Source organism: Homo sapiens, chromosome 13, assembly GCF_000001405.40.
Source record: "Homo sapiens chromosome 13, GRCh38.p14 Primary Assembly".
Taxonomy (NCBI): domain Eukaryota; kingdom Metazoa; phylum Chordata; class Mammalia; order Primates; family Hominidae; genus Homo; species Homo sapiens.
This window is the reverse complement of record NC_000013.11, coordinates 38,696,615-38,718,684: the sequence shown is the minus strand read 5'-3', so window position 1 is coordinate 38,718,684 and position 22,070 is coordinate 38,696,615. Positions and strand designations below refer to the sequence as shown.

Here is a 22,070-nt window from a genome sequence, read left to right as displayed (position 1 = left end):
TTAAAATATTAGAGTAATTTTTTGTAGTGAAAGAAAAAGAGAGAGGGAGAAACTGGTAGAATGAGAGCCATTAGTAAATACTACAGAAACGCTGTGTACATACAGCTTATCGCTGGAGGATGTAAATTGACTTCTGAGCTAGTAGATGCTCTGAATAAGGATTCCAGGAATTCCAAGTTCAAAAGATTAGCCCAAACCATGCTTTATTTCCATTAATAATAAAAGGGAGAAGGAATTGTAAAGGGGGTCTTGGTCCCATCAATTCTTAAAAGCAGTAAGAATGCAGCTCGATTTCACCTGTTCACAGTAGGAGAAGGCAAATGGATGGGGTCCAGAAACACCTTTTCACCCCTGGAGTAGGGCTGTCATAATTAATAATGCTAACTAGATAAGATTCATTTAGTAGCTCATCTCTTAAACATACAGACTTCTTTAAAATACTGCAGTTTTAAAAATAAGTTATAGAAGGTAGTCATACAGTGGAATACAAAGCAATCATTAAAAACAACTGTAGATCTATATTCTTTGATCTAGAAAGGTGTTCAAAACATGCTATGAAACGTCAAAGCCAGGCTTCAGATGAGTATATGTTAAATGATGTCTTTTTGGGTAACACATATCATATGAAAAAAGACACAGTTAATTGCTAATTGCTAATTGTGATTCTTTCTGGTTGGTTATTTTTAGTTTTGTACTTGCTATTTCTCTTATAATGAGCATGTATACTTGTGTAAAAAGAAAACCTGAAATAAACTTCACTGGTGAAAACTCACTGTAATAGTCTTTCAAGTATTAAATGGCAATGGCAATGTTTTCTAGGAAAACACTCATATTTATCAAGATGAGGACTTCACCATCTATATCTGAAAGGTCATTTTGTCAAGTGAAGCTTGAATCGTGGGAACTTAGAATTAATAACTAGCCAAATCTCTTACCTCTTGTGCATTTGCTTTGTTATTTTCAATTAAAATCAGGAATGGTGGCTCATGCCTGTAATCCCAGCACTTTGGGAGGCCAAGGTGGGCAGATCACTTCAGATCAAGAGTTCAAGACCAGCCTGGCCAACATGGTGAAACCCTGTCTGTACTAAAAATACAAAAATTAGCTGGGCATGTTGATGTGTGCCTGTAATCCCAGCTACCTGGGAGGCTGAGCCAAGAGAATCACTTGAACCCCAGAGGTAGAAGTTGCAGTGAGCCGAGTTTGTGCCACTGCACTCCAGCCTGGGCGACAGAGCAAGACACAGTCTCAAAAAAAAAAAAAAAAAAAAAAGTACTTATGTAAAATTCTAATCGGACTGCATCCAGCTTTCCTACACGTCAAAACCTTTACTGCATATCTTGGTGGTTCCACAGCATTAGCACTGCATATTCTCAACTTTAACCTTCTTCTATATACTTCCATGTGGAAAGAGCTGTTTTCTGTTTTTCTAGGAACTCATTCATCCCAGTGGGGCAGGACATGGAAGGAGAAAAGAGTCCCATCTCCCTTTTGTTCCCCTAACCTATTTTAAAACAAAATAAATCAGTTTTAAGGCCCTTAACCATGGTTATTCAGTCTTGACTTGAATACTTCTAGTGACAGGAAGATTCTTATCACATGACAGCTCACTCAATGTCAGACAGCACTTGTTAGAGTTTCTGCTTCACGGTTAGTCAAATCATCTCTTTCTCTTTCTTCCAGTCAGTGATCTTGGTTCCAAATGAAGGTATTTACAAGCATTTATAGTATAAGCTTTCCATACCTGGATGCACAGCATTGGGAAAAAATAAAAAGGACATCTCACTCAAATTTTTGTCTATGCGTGTACACATACATATGTATGTAAAGTGTGTGTGCCTGTGCACATGTGTGTTTTGGGAAGATAAGAAAGAGCAGGCCAGGCGCGGTGGCTCACGCCTATAATCCCAGCACTTTGGGAGGCCGAGGCGGGAGGATTACCTGAGGCCAGGAGTTCGAGACTAGACTGGCCAACATGGTGAAACCCTGTCTCTACTAAAAATACAAAACTTAGCTGGGTGTGGTGGCAGGTGCCTGTAATCCCAGCTACTTGGGAGGTTGAGGGAGGAGACTTGCTTGAGACTTGTATGATCTCAGTGAGCTGAGATCATGCCACTGCACTCCAGCTTGTCCAACAGAGCAAGACTCTGTCTCCAAAAGAAAAAAAAAGGAAAGAACAGAGATGATTACTGAGCCAACAAGGTGGAGGTAGGTATGAGGAAAGGGAATGGGAAAGAAAGATATAGGAGAAGGTTTAAGCTGAGAATATTCAGTGCTGATGCTAAGGAATCACCAAGATATGCAGTAAGGTTCTGGGGTGTGGGAAAGCTGGATGCAGGCTGATTCGAATTTTGCATAAGTACCTATTTTGAAATGAAAATAGCAAAGCACACTGCACGAGCTGGTAGTGGGACAGACCACAGGAAAACAGTGAAAGTCAGCAGTGAAGAAAAGGTAGTAGACCTCTGTAAAGGTCTTTGTCATGGGTGAGAAAAGAAAGCTTCTAAATAGTTGATCCATGCAGAAAGCTCTCTTCTAGGTTTTTTAGGGGCTCGTTCATCCCAGTGAGACAGGACATGGAAGGGGAAGAGTCATATCTCCCTAGTGTTCCCTTTAACTATTTTAAAGTAAAATAAATCATTTGCCTTCTTGCTTATACTCTGGCGTAAATCAACTCTTCATTTACTAGGTAACTTTGGAACTCAAAAAATTCTAAGTGCAAATTATTTCAAGAAATAACTTATAGTCATGTAGCACTTTATGATTTATGACAAATTTTCATTTATATTATTTAATTTAAGCTTAGACTAAGGTTAAATTAATTTCCTTTCACAAAAAAAGGTATTCTTATTCATACATGGACTACTGGAGACTAGAAAAATTAACAGATTTTACCAAAGTGACAGAAAATAAATGGCCAAGATAGGATTTCTATCATTCTCTGATAGAATGATCATTCTAGATCCTGAGTTATCTCCATTAATCTTGAAATATACATATCTCTAAGACAATAGGGCCATTATATACGTCTATATAACACTATTTTGTAAAAAGCATTGCCTTCTAAATAAAAAAAAAAAACCAACTGGTGCATTAGAAGTGATTGTTGGGTAGATTAAAAATCTGATTAGGATTGATTGGGATCTGGAAACGAATCAGGTCTGATAGGTGTTCCACAGACTCTTGGCAAGTCTTGGTGTGTGGAGAGCTCTGGATTAGCCAGGAAGGGCCATGTGCATCTCCTTCTGCTCCTAGGCATTATTGGTCAAGTCTTCCAACATCTGGGGAGAGAGTCCACTTTTCGTTTATTTGGGAATGGCAAAGCAATCCTCTCTGCATCTCATCCACCCTTCCCTACTTTTTGAATTATTTCTTTTGGTACGTCACTATTTAAATGATCAAAACATGTGGTGGGATTTCTGGTGTACAGGGTTCTTTTTCCTTCTATTGCATTGGTTATCTTTGTCTCTTATAGAAGCCATTTGACAAAACACATTTAAATAAACATGATGTCAAAATTTTACAAATGAGGCCATAAAAATCTACAGAAATCATTTTTAAGTATATTTATTTATTCATTTATTTATTTCTTGGGACAGAGTCTCACTCTTGTCACCCAGGCTGGAGTGCAATGGCACGATCTCGGCTCACTGTAACCTCCACCTCCCAGGTTAAAGCAATTTTCTTGCCTTAGCCTCCCAAGTAGCTGGGATTACAGGTGCCCGCCACCATGCCCAGCTAATTTTTTTTTTTTGTATTTTTAGTAGAGGGGGTTTTCTCCATGTTGGCCAGGCTGGTCTCGAACTCCTGACCTCAGGTGATCTGCCTGCCTTGGCCTCCCAAAAGTGCTGGGATTACAGGTGTGACCTACCGCGCTGGGCCAATTTTTAAGTAATTTTTTTTAAATTAAGTTTTTTTAACTAAAAACTACATAAATACATCATGTACAACATGATATTGTGCATATATATACATTGTGAAATGACCAAATGTGTATACGTTGAAGTATGTATATATTGTGGAATAATCAAATCTAGCTGATTAACATTTGCATTGCCTCACATAATTATTATTTTTGTGGTCAGAACAGCTTACATACACTCTCTTAGTAATCTTTAAGAATACAAAATATGTCACTAACCATAGTCACCATGTCATATAGTTTTAAACTTACCTTCTTATCTAAAATTTTGTATCCTTTCACCAACATTCCCCTCCCCCAACCTTTGCTCAGTCTCACAACTTTTATACATTTGAATGGAATACATTGAATGTGACAGGATACAATTGAATGTTTTTGATCAACAAATTATAACTTCACTTTCAGAAGTATTTGATGTCTATACTTTTGATGTTATTTTAAATGAGGTTCTTGTAGCCCCATGCCCTGTGGTCATATCCCTTAACTCAGGATTCTAATTTCATTTCAACCACTGATTAATACAGGTTTAATACAGCAGATATTTTTACTGAGCAAGTTCACTCATTTGAATATGTGACTGACCAGCCACTATGTGCATGGCACGGTGCTTTACACTGCTCAGGACACAAATATGACTGTGACAAGGCCTCTGTCCCTAAACAGTTTATCACTAGAATCACAATGCCAACAACTCAAAGCTGGTTGGGTTATAATCAGTTCAATTAGAGTACCACAGATCCTGGTTTCCAAGCAGTAGCATTATTGTCATTGTAGCCTCCATAGTTCTTTGATGTTGGAGGCTGTCTCCTACATTGTGAGATGTTCAGAGGCATCTCTGGCCTCTCTACCCACTAGATATCAGTAGCATTCTACCCCTTTCCCCCAAGTGGGTAAGTCAAAAATGTCTCCAGTCATTGTCAAATATCTGGGAAGGGACAGTTGAGAACCACTGGTTTAGATACAGAAAAGATAGAGCTTACTTTGGGATGAAGAAATACAACAAGGTTTCATGGAATTTAATGTGTATGAGTGGTGCTTTAAAAGTAAGTAGAGGAACATGAAATTATACTTTGGGGAAGGGATAACATGAATATGTAGGTTGTCTTGTGAAATAAGCACCATAGGTGAAATCCATTTGAGAGAGAATACCGATAAATCACAGGAGATAAAAATGGAGCGATCAGTTAAGGCCATAGAATGGCTGGCCTTAAATCCATGAGCTAGATTAATAAACATATAACACAATCTAATCAGTAGATAAAGCAAGAAAATCAAATGTTTTTCAGTAGGTGACAAAAAATAATGCCATATAATAATATATCCATGATAAGAGTATGCATTATAGATTCATTAGGTTATATGTTCACATTCTTGTGCCATATAGTCCTTGTCACATTCCTGAGACACTGCTACGTTATGTTTTCAGGTTTACAGATGAGGGAACAAAAGCTCTGGGAGGTTAAGTGACCTGCCTGATATCACTCTGTTAATAAGTGGCAAAGCTGAGCATTAGACCAATTTTCCGAGTTTAAATCCAGAGTTCTCATTCATTTACAAATGCAAAGACTTCCTCTATGAAGCACTGTGGAGGAATTTGAGGTTGGGGAGACAGGAGAGAGAACACTGCTTAGAAAAGTACTGGAATAATAATTCAGTAACTCAGGCTACTAGGGTGCTTCCCACAAAAGATATGCAAAAGAGGGTCAAATTAGATATTGTAAATGAAAAATAGCAGGTTGTGAGGACTATTTGGACAGAGGATGGGGGAGGAGAATTAAAAGATGTTTAGATGGTTGAGCAAACAGACATACCACTGAAAGAAATGGGGATGATAGAAGAATCACATCTGATACAGGCACTTAATTACTATGAGAATTAAATGCTCAATCATGTTACTATCTAGGAGTAAGTCAGTAAGTAATAAAATATTTTCAGCTTTTTTAATACTATTTCCTAAGAGGCTAATTTTGGCACTAGTACCAGGAAAATTTTATTAACTTACTAAAGTATGAAACTGGTTTCCAAATAGTAATACACTGGAATCTCACAGGAAAAGTCTGTGTGTGTACTTGTGTGTGTGTGTGTTTGTGTGTGTGTGTGTGTGTGTGTGTGAGAGAGAGAAAGAGAGAGTAAGAGACAGAGAGAAAGAGAGAAAGAAAGAAAGAAAGAAAATGTGTATGTATATCTGCCTGCCTTAGGGCAACTGATAGGATAAAAATTGAAATGGGTACAAAATGCTTTCTATATTCTAATTAATAAATATACCAAATGATCATTAAAATACTTGAAGGGTCTATGTAAATATATTGTCCTTGAGGAAGAAAGAATAATATAGCAAAACTTGTATTTAGCTATATTGGTAGATTCAAAGGCGGCCTAATCAGTTTTATCTACTACTTATATTAAGGAAACTTGGGCTTGGTAATACAACCACTATGAATTAAGCAACTACCTAACAAGGCAGAATCATATTTGTCTAGAGTATTGCAGAAGAGCCCTTAGCCACATCCAGTGCATACACCACATGCTTTGGCTCTGCTCTGTTGCATCTAGTTCTTAAACTCTCAGGGGCTGGGCGCGGTGGCTCACGCCTGTAATCCCAGCACTTTGGGGGGCCGAGGCAGGTGGATCACGAGGAACATGGTGAAACCCCGTCTCTACTAAAATTACAAAAATTAGCTGGGGGTGGGGGAAGGCGCCTGTAGTCCCAGCTATTAGGGAGGCTGAGGCAGGAGAATCACTTGAACACTGGGATGTGGAGGTTGCAGTGAGCCGAGATCACACCACTGCACTCCAGCCTGGGCAACAGAGCGAGAATCCCCTCAAAAAAAAAAAAAAAAAAAAAAAAAGAAATTATCAGCCCCAGAGACCCACAAGATAAGCCACTGCATTTAAAACTGTTTGTGGTCACTCTCAGTGCTTGGGGATATTAATAACAAAGTGTTGACCACATTTTTAATCCAGGTTTTTAAATTTACATAAACTCGATTCACTTCAGTTTTTCCATAGAAAAAATTTCTTTAAAATCCTAAAGTGCTTTTAAATTTTTTGGGAAGTAGTAAGACTATTTTAAAAACTATCTATGCATGAATATAATACACTTATGATATGATCAAAGACATTAAAACTTTAGGAATCTTCTATTTAAAAAACAATCCATTCCTTGAAATATCAAAAATCAAATGCTATATGGTATCCATAATTCTAAGGACTCTATAACACATGGTTTTCACTACATTCACTATGTGTGCTCATACAGTGAATATTTAAACAATATGGTAAAAAACACAGGCTCCTAAGATAGCATCTTAAAACAAGTGATTCATTAATATTTCCAGATAGGTTTACTTTACCACATCATTTAGTAACATCACTTATTTTTTTAATCTAGTATAAAATGCTTTGCTAGTCCACTTTATCTCTTACTGCTATCTTCATCCTACATTAAATGAAACAGACATGAATTGTCATTTAACTGACTCTCTAATGTTTACTTTTACCACATACATACTGGCTGGAGGCGAAGACGGGGATGGGAAGGGAAAGGGAGCTGGTGGTTGTCTCAGTTTTATCAAAGTGATGCAGAGAAATGGGAGATTAAAGTGAGCACATTAAGACAAGGGTGTAAACTCACTCCATTCTCAACAGCATCCAGAACATAAATCAAGAAGGTACAATATGCTTATTACATGAACCAAGTCAAAGAAATGGCAGCATCTACAAATGCTGAAATATCTGGAAGTGATATCTCTACACTAGAAACATACCTAGGGGTGTACAAATAAGGACAGCAATTTCATTTATAAAGAGCAAGAGTTTGATGTCACCATAAAAGTGTGTGCAAACAATTACAGGAAAGTATATGTCCATATACACCTATGTGTTCTTGAAAGATATAGAAAGTAAGCACAAGCTTCCATTTATTTTTACACTATTTTTAACTGGTAAGCCTATTCTGTTTTTCTTTAGATTTTTCTCTTGACTTCTGAAGTTACTCCACATGCAACTTTAAGAGAAAATAGAAATCAACAATTCACCTATGCTTTACATTTATTTATGACTCACTCCACACGTATTTATTGACCTCCTACTAAGTGCCGTGTGGTGACTAAGGCAACTCAGCACTGAAGAAGAGACATAAATATGAATGAAACAGCTCTCGCAGTTGAGAAGCTTTGTAAACACAAATGTATATAAGGAGTTCCAGTACAGAGTGGTACATTTAGGGCTGGTATACCAATTGTTAGGGTGAAATGCATCTCGATTGATTAACAGATTAGCAGAAAGTTTAATGAAAACTTGGCAGAGCCAGGGTTCAAGGCCAAAATGCCTAGAAGAGCTCTCTTCTCATTGGTCCTGAAGTACATAGATTCACCTAATTAAACTTTGCATTCCAGTGAATAATTTTTGTGACTTCATCTACAAATAGAGATATTGAATATATGAGTCTCATATATTTTTTAAGTCTTAGAAATAGTTTGAATGTAATTGCTTTCATTCAGGAAAAGCTGAGTAGATTTAGCACCGTGACCAATATCATTGATGTTTTTTGTGTTTTTTTGTTGTTGTTGTTTCGTGACAGAGTCTCACTCACTCTGTCACCCAGGCTGGAGTGCAGTCGCGCAATCTCGGCTCACTGCAACTTCTGCCTCCTGGGTTCATGCGATTTTCCTGCCTCAGCCTCCTGCTGGGAACACAGGTATGTGCCATCACGCCCGGCTAATTTGTGTGTGTGTGTGTGTGTGTGTGTGTGTGTGTGTGTGTGTGTGTGTGTGTATTTTTAGTTAGACTAATTTTTCACCGTTTGGCCAGGCTGGTCTTGAACTCCTGACCACAAGTGATCCACTCATCTCAGCCTCCCAAAGTGCTGGGATTATAGGCATGAGCCACCGCGCCCGGCCATCACTGATGTTAAGAGCAATTTTCTACCAATTGGGACTACAAGTCACTTAATAATAAGCAGTTTAAGGGTAAAGTCATTAGAAGGGTTTGGTACAGTATCTGTGTCAAATCACGGTCCTAGGAGAGTACCCTTCAGCTTGTGAAAGCCACTTTAAATAAAAGATGACGTCAAAATAAAAGATTTTTAAATTATCCGTGTGATTTGAGGAGCAATTTGTACTATGATATAGCACTTATAAGCATTCTCATATAACATAGGTATATATACCTATGTAGTATATTCTGCATAATATATATGCATCTACATAATAGTCTAACAACCTTTTACATTATATTATATATTATTAAATATTTGTGCTGCCCCATACATCACTTGGTAAGCAATTATGTATTTGTATACATGTATGTGTCTATATATTTACACAGTTATATGTACATATATAATATTTTACAATTGGCATAATGATTTAAATTATTATATAAATCAATATATTGCTATATACATCCATGTTTTGAATCTAGCTTTGAGATCCAAATATGAGTTGTTATGGGAAACACAGCGGAGATGTCTGACCCTAAGGATAGGAGTAGAAGGTGTCAGGAAGAAAATGTGCCATCTCTACTGAATCTCATGCAGAGGAAGTGGGCAGGGGATTGAGGAAGAAAGGAAAGGCGAGTGTGCATGAAGTAGCATGGCATGTGCAGGAATCCTGAGTAGGCAGCATGGTTGCATTGGGTCAGACCTGCACAGTTTGTACAACATGGGAAGAGTCTGAATTTTATCCTGTGAGAGAACATTGAGGCTGGATGTGGTGGCTTATGCCTATAATCCCAGCACTTTGGGAGGCAAACGCAGGTGGATCACCTGAGGTCAGGAGTTCAAGACGAGCCTGGCCAACATGATGAAACCCTGACTCTACTAAAAATACAAAAATTATCTGGGCGTCATGGCGGGCACCTGTAATCCCAGCTACTCAGAAGGCTGAGGCAGGAGAATTGCTTGAACCTGTGAGGCAGAGGTTGCAGTGAGCCAAGATCGCACCATTGCATTCCAGCGTGGGCAACAAAAGAGAAATTCTGTCTCAAAACAAAACAAAACAAAACATTGAGAGTTATAAAGTAGAGACAACATCAAATTTACAGTTTAGAAAATTATGGCAGAAGAAGGGAGGAAAGACTTTTTTTAAAGATTATTTATTTATTTATTGAGACAGAGTCTCATTCTGTCACCCAGGCTGGGGTGCAGTGGCGCAATCTCAGCTCACCACAACCTCCATCTCCCGGGTTCAGGTGATTCTCCTGCCTCAGCCTCCCGAGTAGCTGGGATTACAGGCACACGCTACCAGGCCCAGCTAATTTTTGTATTTTTAGTAGAGACAGTGTTTCACCATGTTGTCCAGGCTGGTCTCGAACCCCTGACCTCAAGTGATCTGCCCTCCTTAGCCTCCCAAGATGCTGGGATTACAGGCATGAGCCACTGCGCCCGGTCTAAAATCACATTTGTATTTTTAGGTAATTTTGGAAACAAGCTATATCCAGGTCAGAGGGGAAGGCAAAAAGAGACAAAGAGATCCATTAGAATTGCACTGGAAGAAATATTTTCCTTCACTCAATAAATATTTATCGAGCACCTATATGTACTCAGGCACTGAGGGTATATCAATGAAAATCAGAGATAAAAATCCTGGCTCTCATGGACAGCATATATTATAGTGGGGGTCAATGGCTAACATGAATATAGCACTTACTTTGTGCCTATGATTATTTTAAGCAGTTTACATCTGTTACGTCATTTAAGATAAACTTCAATGTGGTTCTGAAGGAACCAATGGCCATGGAGAATGTGTGGGAATCCTACTCAACAGAAATTCAGGAACCAGGGAAAGCTGCCTGGATTTAGCACCTGGGTGGACACGGATGGTGAAACAAAATGACCCTGAGGTTTAGGTGGCAAGAAGAAACTGAGAAAACAATTTCCTAAAGGATTAAATGTAGCCTACCTTTCATAATTTTATAGCAGTGATGCAATGCACTTAATTTTTGGCCATTTCTGCATAAAATCAAGTAAAGCAAGAGAAGTATTACGGGGACACAAAATGGTTCTTTTCTTTCTTGGGGATTTCTAAAGTCTACCAACCAGTTTCACAACTTTATTTTCAATTTCTGAAGTGGCACTCTTGAACTATTCTTAAAAACACTGTTTTCAGTGTTCTCAACTCGTGCCTCTAACAGCTGGATAAGTAGAGTTAAAGGTAGCAGGTGGCACATTACAAAGATGAAAGGATTAAACCTTCCTGTGCTAAAAAATCCAGCAGAGGGATGGAGAACAGGCGCTTCTCTCTCAACCTGCAGTAATGTAGTCAGAGCTCTCTGGGAATAGAAAGAGGACAATTGTGTCCTCACTTCCTTCATCAAAAGCTACCATGAAGGCTGCTATTTTCTAAGCTTAGCATGAAATTAACATGCAGAAAAAAATGTTCTAAGTTGAAAACCAAATATAGCTATATAATTTTATTCCCTAATCTTTTTGTATAATTTCTTTGTTCCAAGAATACTAATACTCTGCAAAAAAATGAATCATATCTAATGGTAATTAGCTATAACTGAATAATTCATTCTAGAAACTTCTCTCCTAAAAATGTAAGAATTCTAAGTGTAAACCATCTGAAGGTACACTGTTTCTTTAACATAATATTCCCTCAGTGAAACATTGCTTATATGCAGCCACTTGGCAATTTTTTTTATAAAGGGCAGAACCGGATTAATAAATTAATAATCTTAGTAAACTTGCACTAACTGTTCTGAAACAGAATATTAAGAAAAACATTTTTTTCTCATTTATACAAATATTTTTGCTCTTAGAAAATGTACATTATGAAATCAATCCACATTTGTGAAGCAAGAACAAAAGTACCTATACTTTATTCATGTGTGTGATTCATGCATTCATCACTGTGTCACAAAGTTAAACTTCAATGAATCTTATTTTTCCTTATTTGCAATGAGGATTAAGTATGACATTTGTCCTTTTGAACTCATTGGGATATTGTAGAAAGGTACAAGGCTTTAATACTTATCAGGTAGGAAGTTTGTGATTGTAGATGTGAAATAAAATTTATTCATTACCCAATCATTACTTACAAAAATATTAAAATTACAAGATTCTAAAAAGCATATAGTTTTCCTCTAATCTCAGAAAAAGCAGGATTTTATATTTTCATAAAATAAAATCAAGAAGCATTCTTTTAGTACAAATTGTTTCCATAAGCAACATTGAGTTTTTGAAGGAACTTGTTAGGAGTATCTACATACACACAACACTCATTTTCCAATGACCCCAGTAAGGAATTTCAAGTTCCTTAATGCCTAAATTTAAAACAAGCTCTTCTCAGTGCCTAAATTTACTAGTTTTCTCAAAGGTACATTTATTTACTTGCTTTTTTCTCTATGATATTGACTAAATGGGGCATCTGGCCACTGGGGTGACTATATCATTCTCTATATAACAAAGCATATTTAGGCGATTCCAATATCTGAATAAACATGGCATTTAATCAATCTCTCCAACCACTTATGGCTCAGTGTATTAGAGATTTGCAATCAAAACTACCCTTTGAACCTCATGTTTGCTAAACCCAGATGTTTCGAAGGGTTATATTTTGATCAAATCAAGATACGGTATTAATCTTCAAGCCTATAAAGTTTACACTTCAACCCTTAAAAAGGAGAAATAAAACATGCAGGCTGAGCTTCAGAGATACAGTGGGTTTTTAAAAATTTCTGTTATTTGGCCATAGTGAAAACTCATTTGTTATCATTTTTGTAATGAAAATATTAGTTAAACTACTTACAACGTGTGAAATAACTTTGGAAGCCTCCGTAGCATTGAAACGTTGCACTACAGAAGGGCTCATCAGGTTCTGACTTTCCATCCCTGTGTATTCCCCCATCTTTCTACCAACACCAAATGAACAGTCTAACTGTATAGACAGCTGCTGTGAGAAAGACAGGAGAAAGGAAGAAAGGAAGAAAAGAAGAAAGGGAGGGAGGGGAAATAAAGAAAGAAAAATAAAGAACAGCATAGCTCTGGAAGCCCTCAGAGTAGCAGCTACAGCAGCAGCAGCTACCTGCATAGTTGTTACTATGTGACAGGAACTGTGCCGCATGAATGATCTTATTTTCATGAATTATCTACTTAATCTTAAAAAGAACCCTATTAGCTAGGTACTGTTATTATCCCAACTTTATAAATGAAACTGAGGCTGAGGAAGTCTCGGTCACTTGGCTCAGGGTCACGTCACCAATTACGGTAAGAGGCACAAGCAGTATTTGTTCCAGCTCTCACTCCTAAAGCTGCGCTTCTAACTGTGATGGAAGAAAAGATAAGCAAGATCAAAAGGCTGGCTTCCTGTATACACATTTCAAAGAAGTAAGAGGTCTCATAATTAATATGTTTCTAATGTCCTCTTAATTTCCTCCCTTAAACCTAGTCCATGCCCCTCTAGTCTATTTCATCTCCATAAATGGCAGCACCATTCTCTGCTGGCTGTAAAACCCAGAATCATGCTTACGGTCTCCTTTTTTCTTACCCTACACTCCAACTCATCAATAAGTCTTACAGATTTGGATCCAACATTATATCAAGCTTACCTTATTCTTCCCATATGACATCTGTCTTTCTGCATCGGCCTCATGTCAATCTTCCTGTTTCCCCTTGCTGCCCTCCTATAGATCCTCTACACCTGCAAGAATCATCTTTCTAAAACACAAATTGGAACACAATGCTCCCTTTCTTTAAAATGATTTAGTTTGGGATATGGTTTGGCTCTGTGTCCCCACCCAAATCTCATTTCGAATTGGAATTCCCATGTGTCGAGGGAGAAACCTGGTGAGAGGTGATTGGATCATGGTGGCGGTTCCCCCATGCGGTTCTCATGATAGCTAGTGAGTTCTCATGAGATCTGATGGTTTAAAAGTGTGGCACTTCCCTTCACTCACTCTCTCCTCTGCTACCCTTTGAAGAAGGTACTTGCTTCTCTTTCATTTTCTGCTGTGATTGTAAGTTTCCTGAGGCCTCCCCAGCCATGCATAACTGGGTCAATTAAACCTTTTCTTCACAAATTAGCCAATCTCAGGTAGTTCTTTAGACCACTGTGAAAACTGACTAATACAGGTGGATACTCTTTTCTTTAGCACAAAATCTAAATCACTCCTCTGGGTATACAAGGCTCTGCACCATCAGGCTTTGATCTAGCTCTCCAGCCTCATCTTGTTACCTTCTCTGGTTTGTTCATGGAGCTGCAGGCATGCTGGTGCTTTTCTGGTGACTTGAACACACAAAGCTCAGTCCCTTTGCACATGCTTTTGCTGCCACCTGGAAGGTTTCTTCTTCCCTTCCTCTAGTGGCAGCTTCATCCTGTCCTAAGTCTATACTTAAATACCACCTTTCAGGTGCCTTTCCTGACAGCTGTGTCTCTATCTGGGGCTTAATTATAACTGTCAGAATACTTTAAACAAAGTTTAACTCATTCGTCTACTTCTTTATCCTAAGGATGAATCTCAGGTCAAAGATCATGACTGTAATATTCATCACTGTATTCTCAGACCCCAATGGACACCTGAAACATGGTGAGTGGGTGCTCCAAAAATATTTGTTGAGTAATTCGATAAAGAAATTTACAAGGAATCTTGCTTTAGCCAATAAGATTCACCATAGAAACTCTGACCCTTCTTTTACATTGCATTCTGGTTATCTGTTGCATTATCTTAGGTTCTGGCAAATACAGAATAATACCAATTACCACTGTGTGCTTCTCCTTTGAAAATAACTTCCCACTTCTCCCAGCCATCAGAGCAAATGTAAAGAGACAGATTGAGATACTATCAAATTATTAACATATGCCACAAATAAATATTTGATTTGAGATTATGGTACTTTAATCACCTATGAAAAATATGCTTAGTGTTTAAAAGGTGACTATCATTTGTTCTGAGTAATATGAAATCATGTGAAATTTCTAGAAATCTTCCTAACAAGAATTCATTGTCACCCAAAGATTTAACAATTTAAAAAAATGTTCTCGGAACTAAAGCCAATGAAAACAGTATATTCATATAATGTATAATTTTGGAATGAATCTAAAGAATAATAATAAATAAAATTGAGTTTTACTTTTCTATCTAAAAGGTATAAAAACTTGAGTTTATACTTTTCTATCTAAAAGGTTTAACTTCGTTCTTGCACACAGTACAGGTACCTTAATAGAATCATGCTTTTAAAGGCAGGGATCTGGCCTAGAAACACCCTGATGACTTGATCTATTGTGAACTGCTCAATGAAGAGTGAAAGGCTTACAAACATTCAGCCACAGTAGCCAACACTCCTTCCCAAGATCTGTATTCTAGTAGACCTTGTGGTCTCTCACAGATTAAAAATATTTGTATCAGTGCCTGACATTACTTCACCATCTTATTATAACTCCCTAAGGCACTAGCATCTTTCCCCCTGGTTCTCATGTCACTAGCAATTAATTTTATTGCCAAGAATGCTTGCTTTTTTCTCTGAGCTGAATATGTCTGTATAATCTTTTAATGCTTGTACTCAGACCTCTCTTTTCTACTTACTCTATTTATATTTTTCCAGCCCTTGATTTAACTTCAAGCTAATTATCAGTAATTATTTTGCCTTAAACCCCAAAGTTATTGGTCATTTTCAAGCAAAAACTTGTACTCCTTCTATTAAAAATGAAAGGCTTCCGGTAGTCTCTTTGTGTTTGAGGAGTCAATCATCAAATACGGAATAACAATTCAAAAGCCTTGACCTTAAATGACATTTCATATACAGAAATGACTTTGCAGCTTCTACTATGTCAAGATACTATTTATAATATCCTTCAATAGCATATGAATCAAGGATCTTGGGGGATGGAAAATTGGGCACCAAAGGCATAATCAAAGACAGCAGCAAAAAAATGTCTGGCTGTGGCCCAGATAACACTATAATGGCCAACACAGATATTATGTCTGCCGCCCCAGTTTCAATGCCAAACTCAGCAGGCAGAACTCACTGAGACTGCATGCCTATGTCATATGAGAGGTTTCAAATAAGGAAGCAGCAAGCTGGTTTTCATAATGAATACAAATGTAAGACTCCTCCTACTCAATATGTCCAGCCAGGTGATCATGTATTCTAATTTTTTCTTAAGCCCATCAAGAAACAAGCTGGATCTGATGCTGAGGTATGTATTCTAATTTTTTCTCAAGCCCATCAAGAAACAAGCTGGATCTGATGCTGAGGCTTTGAGACTTAAAACAAACAAACAAAAAAGTTTACACGAGGACTTTTTAATGAAAACTAGAGATACTTTTTGCTGGTATTGTCTTCTACTTCTCCACCTGTCCTAATGTTATCTCATACCACACAAGAAAATACTGGGGTAACTGAAAATACAGTAGTGGTGCTGCTGGCTTGAAAATTTTAGTGACTTATAGGAAATGGTTATTTCCTTTTAGATTTTAAATTGTATAATTCTTTAATAATAAACCGACAAGTTTTTTTTTCTGAAAAGGCTTGTTTAAGAATAATATGAGCTCTGAACTGGTGGTTAATACTTCAATCTTAAGTACATTTCACTGAAGATTTTGAAGGAATTTTCACAGCAGTTGATTTAGTTAATTTCATGCGTTTAAAAATGTGAAAGCTTCACTAAAAAACTTTCCTGGTGCCATAGGGATTTAAATTAATGCTAGGATAGAACAACGTTCTAAAGGAATGCAAAGGGTCTACTGGGAATTGTTTATAGGAGTTTTTCATATAATACTATTTAATTGATCTTTATGTCAAAAGAGAGCAATTGTTTTTCTCCTGTTTATCCATTCATTTATTTAATGTTCGGTAAGTATTTACCTCGTGCTCAGCCTTGGCACTGAGGTACAAAGATTAATGATACCTTTTTTGATATGAAGGAGTTTCTTCCTTACTAATGGAGGTTTCCACATTAGCAAATAATCATAATATAAATTTTTACTGTAAATAAAGTTGGGGAGAAAAGCATAAAAAAGAGTGAGACTAATTATGTAATTGTGATGTTGGGAGCAACTTTGGAGAGGAAATGATATTTGAGCCTGGTGTTGAAGAGTGATTAACAATCATTAGGGTTGAGGGTGGGGCATGCCTGGAATAGTTATTTGAGACCAGCTTTCACATCACAATAAAGAGCTAGAAGGGCCCGACAAAGCACTTTCATGTTAGAATACCTTATAGAAAAATTACAGAGAGTTGAACACTGAGAAGGAATCAGATAAAAATGTTTGACTACAAAGAGGATAAAAGAATAAATATTTTATTTCTCCCTAACAAAATTCCAGAGTACTGGATCTGGAATTACAATTCAAAGAGGCAGTCAACAAAGGAAGATGTATTTCCCAGGTCTGTATTATTATAAGTTACCTTCGTGAAGATATAAAGCACGAAAACCAAAAGAAATGGAAGACAGCTAAATCCACAGGCAGTTGCTACATATATACACGAGCTCATTAGATGAAGCCGCAGACAGCGGGAATATATTCTTGAACTTCAGAGTTTGACCTTATACTTTGTAATGATGCATTCATGTATGTTGACTGGCCCAGAACACCTGGGTGAGTGCCTTATTCTGATATCACATTTTCATGCTCTTTACTAATATTCCAATAAGCATATTGCATTATAAAATAATCATTTTAAGAATTGCACTATGAAAGTAACTATTGGGTACTAGACTTAGTACCTGGGTCACAAAATAATCAGCACAACAACCCCCCTTGACATGACTTTACCTATATAACAAACCTCCACATGTACCTCTGAACCGAAAACAAAGGTTTTTAAAAAGAGAATTACACTATGATACCAAGAAAGAGTACTACAAAGTTTAGGGCACTACAACTTTTAAAGTATTTTAAAATAAAAATGCACATTTTAGAAAACACAAAGCTCTTTGTCTATCCTAAAAGCAGATCCTACTCTGACTTCACTCACATCTATTAAACATTCCTAGAAAGTTGGTCTGGAGAACCCAGAGAAGTTCAAGAGTTCCCCCTCTTATCCCTATCCTGAATAAGTGTGGAAGTTATCGCTTATTACTGAGGAAAGAATTTGAGATTGAAAGCAGCCTCTAGTTGCCCAGCTGTGCAGCTTGAAGGAGGAAAGTTACTTATTTTGGTGACTCAGTTTCCTCATCTGCCAAATAGAAATCATACTAAGTTTTTTTTGCTGTTTTTGTTGCTCACAGAGATGTTATGAAGGTAAAATCGCATAAGAAACAATAAATAACATAGAAGGTTTGAAATCTAATTGAAAGAACCCTAAGATACAAGGATCTGTGTATGTGTGTGGACATGTGCTATATCAACCAACGTGTATTAAGTCCAAATACAGTAGACTTCCCCTGAGGTAAAGACCCTGATGTTATCTGTTGCTCAGATAGTGCTCTCTTTACTTCTGTCATTTGGTAAAAGTCCCAAAGCACTCCAAAACTTCAAAGGTAGTAACCCTTTCCCAAGCATAGTCCTTTTAGTAATGGATAGTCACTAATCCATTACTACATCATAACAGAAGAATCCTGTGGCGAGCCAGATTCCCATGGTAACACAATTAAATCTGAAACAAGAGGTCTGAGCCTTCTGTTCTTCTCAATCTCTTCTCCTACTCTAAATCCCTTAAATTGAATTATGTTTTATTTTTAAGGTTATTCATGGATGATGGTTGCCCCACTAATTTCCTTAGATAGTTACTGTTATAAAATCAATCACGTTGATTTGAAGAAGATGCATTTATCAGATTGGAAAGCAAGCTGGACATACAGAGTTCTCAATTTTATGCCATTGTGCCCTGACTTGCTTCCCAGGGGTGAAATACTCACACATTTCATATTTCATCGGGATGACTTATAGATATGCCTACTATCATTGTATAGACTAGACGACAATAAATCACTACAGTTAATTAAGTTTAAACAGTATTGCACTTCTCATTCAAATGTCAGAAGATTTATACGGCAATGCAAAAATCCTAAAAAAATTTAAGAATCAGGTTAAAACAATTTAGGGATACCAATGTGACTTTTTAATCTTGCAGGTCTCTGTGTTTATTCTGTCAAAGGATAGTTTTCTTATATCAGGGGAATTAAAGTAAATTCTATTCAACAGCTTGCCAAAATCTGCCTGAGCTCCATAGGTAATGTTATGCCAGTAAAGAGGAAGAGGGTAAAAAAGAAAATCTGAAATTTTTATCTCTCACATGAAACTCTCTCTCTAAAAAGACTCCTAAAATGATATGTTCCTACTTCCATAAAGACAATCTTTGGAGGCCTTGCCACATTTTCAGCAAATTCAAACATAAACCGAGCCCCTTCAGCTAGTCATTCTTCACTTAATATTTTGCACTTAATATTTTGAAATATGATACTATAGAATGTTTTCCAAAATTGGAATAGAGACCAAAATTTTAAAGTAAATGCTACCATTCCACCCAGGTAAGGTAAAATAATGTGTGTGTGTTTGTGTATGAGCAAAAAAAGCAAAATATTTTATTAAAAAGTATAGAATATTTTAGTGTAATTGCAGCCATTGAATTTGAAACTTTTTTTGGTAATTTTACAGAAAGTCACACTTTTGCTATTGAGGTTTACTCAGTCATCCTAAGAGATAAACATGGTGTTTTAAACCAATAATTTCATCCTTAAATTTTTATATATGTTACAGAGATTTGGATTATTTCAGGGTTTCACTCTACAGTTAGTTACAATAGAATTTCCCATTTGAGCAGCAAAATTCAAGAAGGTTTTTTTTATGAGTTGATTTCCTTTTTAGAACTTCGTTTTATGCTAAGATGCCTTTCATCAATACGTAGAATACTAAACTATGATTTGGTTACTCAAAAAATAAAGGCACTCACATGATTGACTCTCTGATTCATAGTAGGAATCAAACAGTTGAACCCAACATAACACATTTTGTTTGCCTCTCTGGCACACACTCAACAATTGACATTTTTCAGAACTGTGATCATGTTGTGTCCATTGATATTTTAAACAAATACTATGTAATGCTTCAAAAAACATGGAGGGTAAGGATGCAGTATTTTTGAGATAGACGACATAATAGTGTGCCATTTTTAAAAAGCATCATAAGGAAACAGATAACAGAGTATGAATTATTTTTCTCCTTCCTCTCTCTGCTCTCTCACATATACCCTCAGTTCTGGTGTCCTGTTCACACAACACATGTACTAGGGGAGGTTCTTTTGCTTCAAAAGAAAACATGCAAGAACAAAAACATCTTTATGAGCAATCTGAAAGTGACCAGTTTTTCTCCTCACCCACAGGGTTAGGAAGACAAGAGATCCAAAGCTGAAAGGAGTATAAACAGCAGGCAGTTCTGGGGGAGTAATGAGAATAATATCGCCCAAAAGACTTAGCTCAGAAGTCACATCCTATACTCTGAAGTATTCTTCACACTTAACCAAGAAAAATTTTTAGCTGGACTAGGTCACAAAATCCCCCAAACTAAGAAAATCATTAGAAGTCCTGAGATTGGTGAGATAAAACAGACATTAATTTACTACTGATTTCTTGGTGAATGCAACACATTTTCCATCAGTATTAGTCCACACAGAACCCATGAGCAAATCAGGAAAAAGCAGCTCCTTTGGGCAGCTACACCTCAGTGAGCACATGGCTATGAGTGGAACTGCAGCTGAATTCCAACATCCTCTTACTGACTCAAGTAGGCAAACTCATGCAGGGTGTAATCTGAACAACTAGACATGGAGATCCTATTTATACAGATCTCTCTCTTTAGTGCTTTACAAATAGTAAGACAAAAGTGATATAACTAGAACTTTTATCTATAGCCATGACATAGTAGGATTGTGTCATAGTGAGATTGTAAAATTGTCTACAGCAAATACCAGGTTAAATTTAGGTGATCATGAAATATTACTTGATGAAGACTTCTTGTAATAATGTCATCAGAGAGCAACCAAGAAAAGCGTCTCTCCTTGCGGTCACTACCAGGAGAGGGGAATACTTACCACCATCTTCAACTGCAAAATAGAACATATCACTTGTGGCATTAGCCCCTTCTCTTAAGACATAGCATATTTTCATGTCATCAATGTCAGCTAGAAAATAACCAAAAAACAAGATGATTAATTACCAGAGTAAAATTGATGATTCATTATGGTAAATTTTATTGGCTATTAGTTTTCCTATAAACATGTTTAAATTCCTTTTTCCTCCTAACAGAAACAGTGCTGTCTTATTTCTCAGATCTCTAAGCCCCTAGATTTCAGCTGTCCCATGGACACCTGATCCCTCACACAGATAAATACAGTGCAAGAGTTAGTTTATAATAATAGCAAGGTGTTTCCCCTCCCAGTGGTATTTGCATGTTCATGCACCAAAGGAATGACTGTCTAAATATGGAATGTCAGGCACCATGACAGGTGGAAAGGAAGATATTTTGAGGCATGGCAGATTTCCTGGCACTCTTGAAATCACATCCTTTGCCTCCCAGTAGGGAACTGGCCCGCAGAGGACAGAGCTTTGCTCCCCAACACTGGCTAACTTTTCTTACTTTTTGTGCTGTAGCAGGCTATTTTTTAAGCTCTCCAAAGTTTGAGAGAAAAAAATAAGATGATATTTTCAAAAAATCACACACATTGAAATAACTGATGACTCCCTGTTGAGAACAAAAAACATCTAATAAAAGTGGAAACGGGCTGGACACGGTGGCTCATGCGTATAATCCCAGCACTTTGGGAGGCTGAGGCAGGTGGATTATGTGAGGTCAGGAGTTCAAGACCAGCCTGGCCAACATGGTGAAACCCTGTCTCTATTAAAAATTGGCTGGGTGTGGTGGTGCGTTCCTGTAATCCCAGCTATTCGGGAGGCTGAGGCAGGAGAATTGCTTGAGCCTGGGAGGCAAAGGTTGCAGTGAGCTGAGGTCGCACCACTGCACTCTAGCCTGGGCAAGAGAATGAGACCCTGTCTCAAAAAAAAAAAAAAAGTGGAAACCTTTATTCATGGCAGAAAGTTATATTGCCTCAGAAATGTTCCTTATGTTGTTTCCTACTTTATCAAATTCACATGCATACATTTGTTTTCATTATGAAGACACAATTTTTAAAACTTATTCATCCATCTTACCAGTTCCTTTCCTTAATGATGCCACACATACAACATAATAAGAAAAAAATCGTTTT

The 22,070-nt window shown here is 37.2% G+C and overlaps 1 protein-coding gene across 3 annotated transcripts in view, besides 1 other annotated feature; it reads right to left on the bottom strand.

Annotated features, from left to right (window-relative positions):
* Positions 1-22,070, bottom strand: part of FREM2 (FRAS1 related extracellular matrix 2) — a 200,055-nt gene that overhangs the window by 168,447 nt on the left and 9,538 nt on the right. For all 3 annotated transcript variants that reach the window (XR_941571.3, NM_207361.6, XM_017020554.2), the window contains exon 2: positions 20,898-20,987. Coding sequence is in view for 2 of the 3 variants with exons in the window: in NM_207361.6 (NP_997244.4) it covers positions 20,898-20,987 (90 nt within the window). In the remaining variant the exon portion in view is untranslated. The remainder of the gene's footprint in view (positions 1-20,897; positions 20,988-22,070) is intronic.
* Positions 20,419-20,713: a silencer, noted in NCBI's record as "tiled region #9586; HepG2 Repressive non-DNase unmatched - State 24:Quies, and K562 Repressive non-DNase unmatched - State 24:Quies". NCBI's record gives its function as "represses a minimal TATA promoter and a strong SV40 promoter by Sharpr-MPRA in HepG2 and K562 cells {active_cell/tissue: HepG2 | K562}" and the evidence as "EXISTENCE:reporter gene assay evidence [ECO:0000049][PMID:27701403]".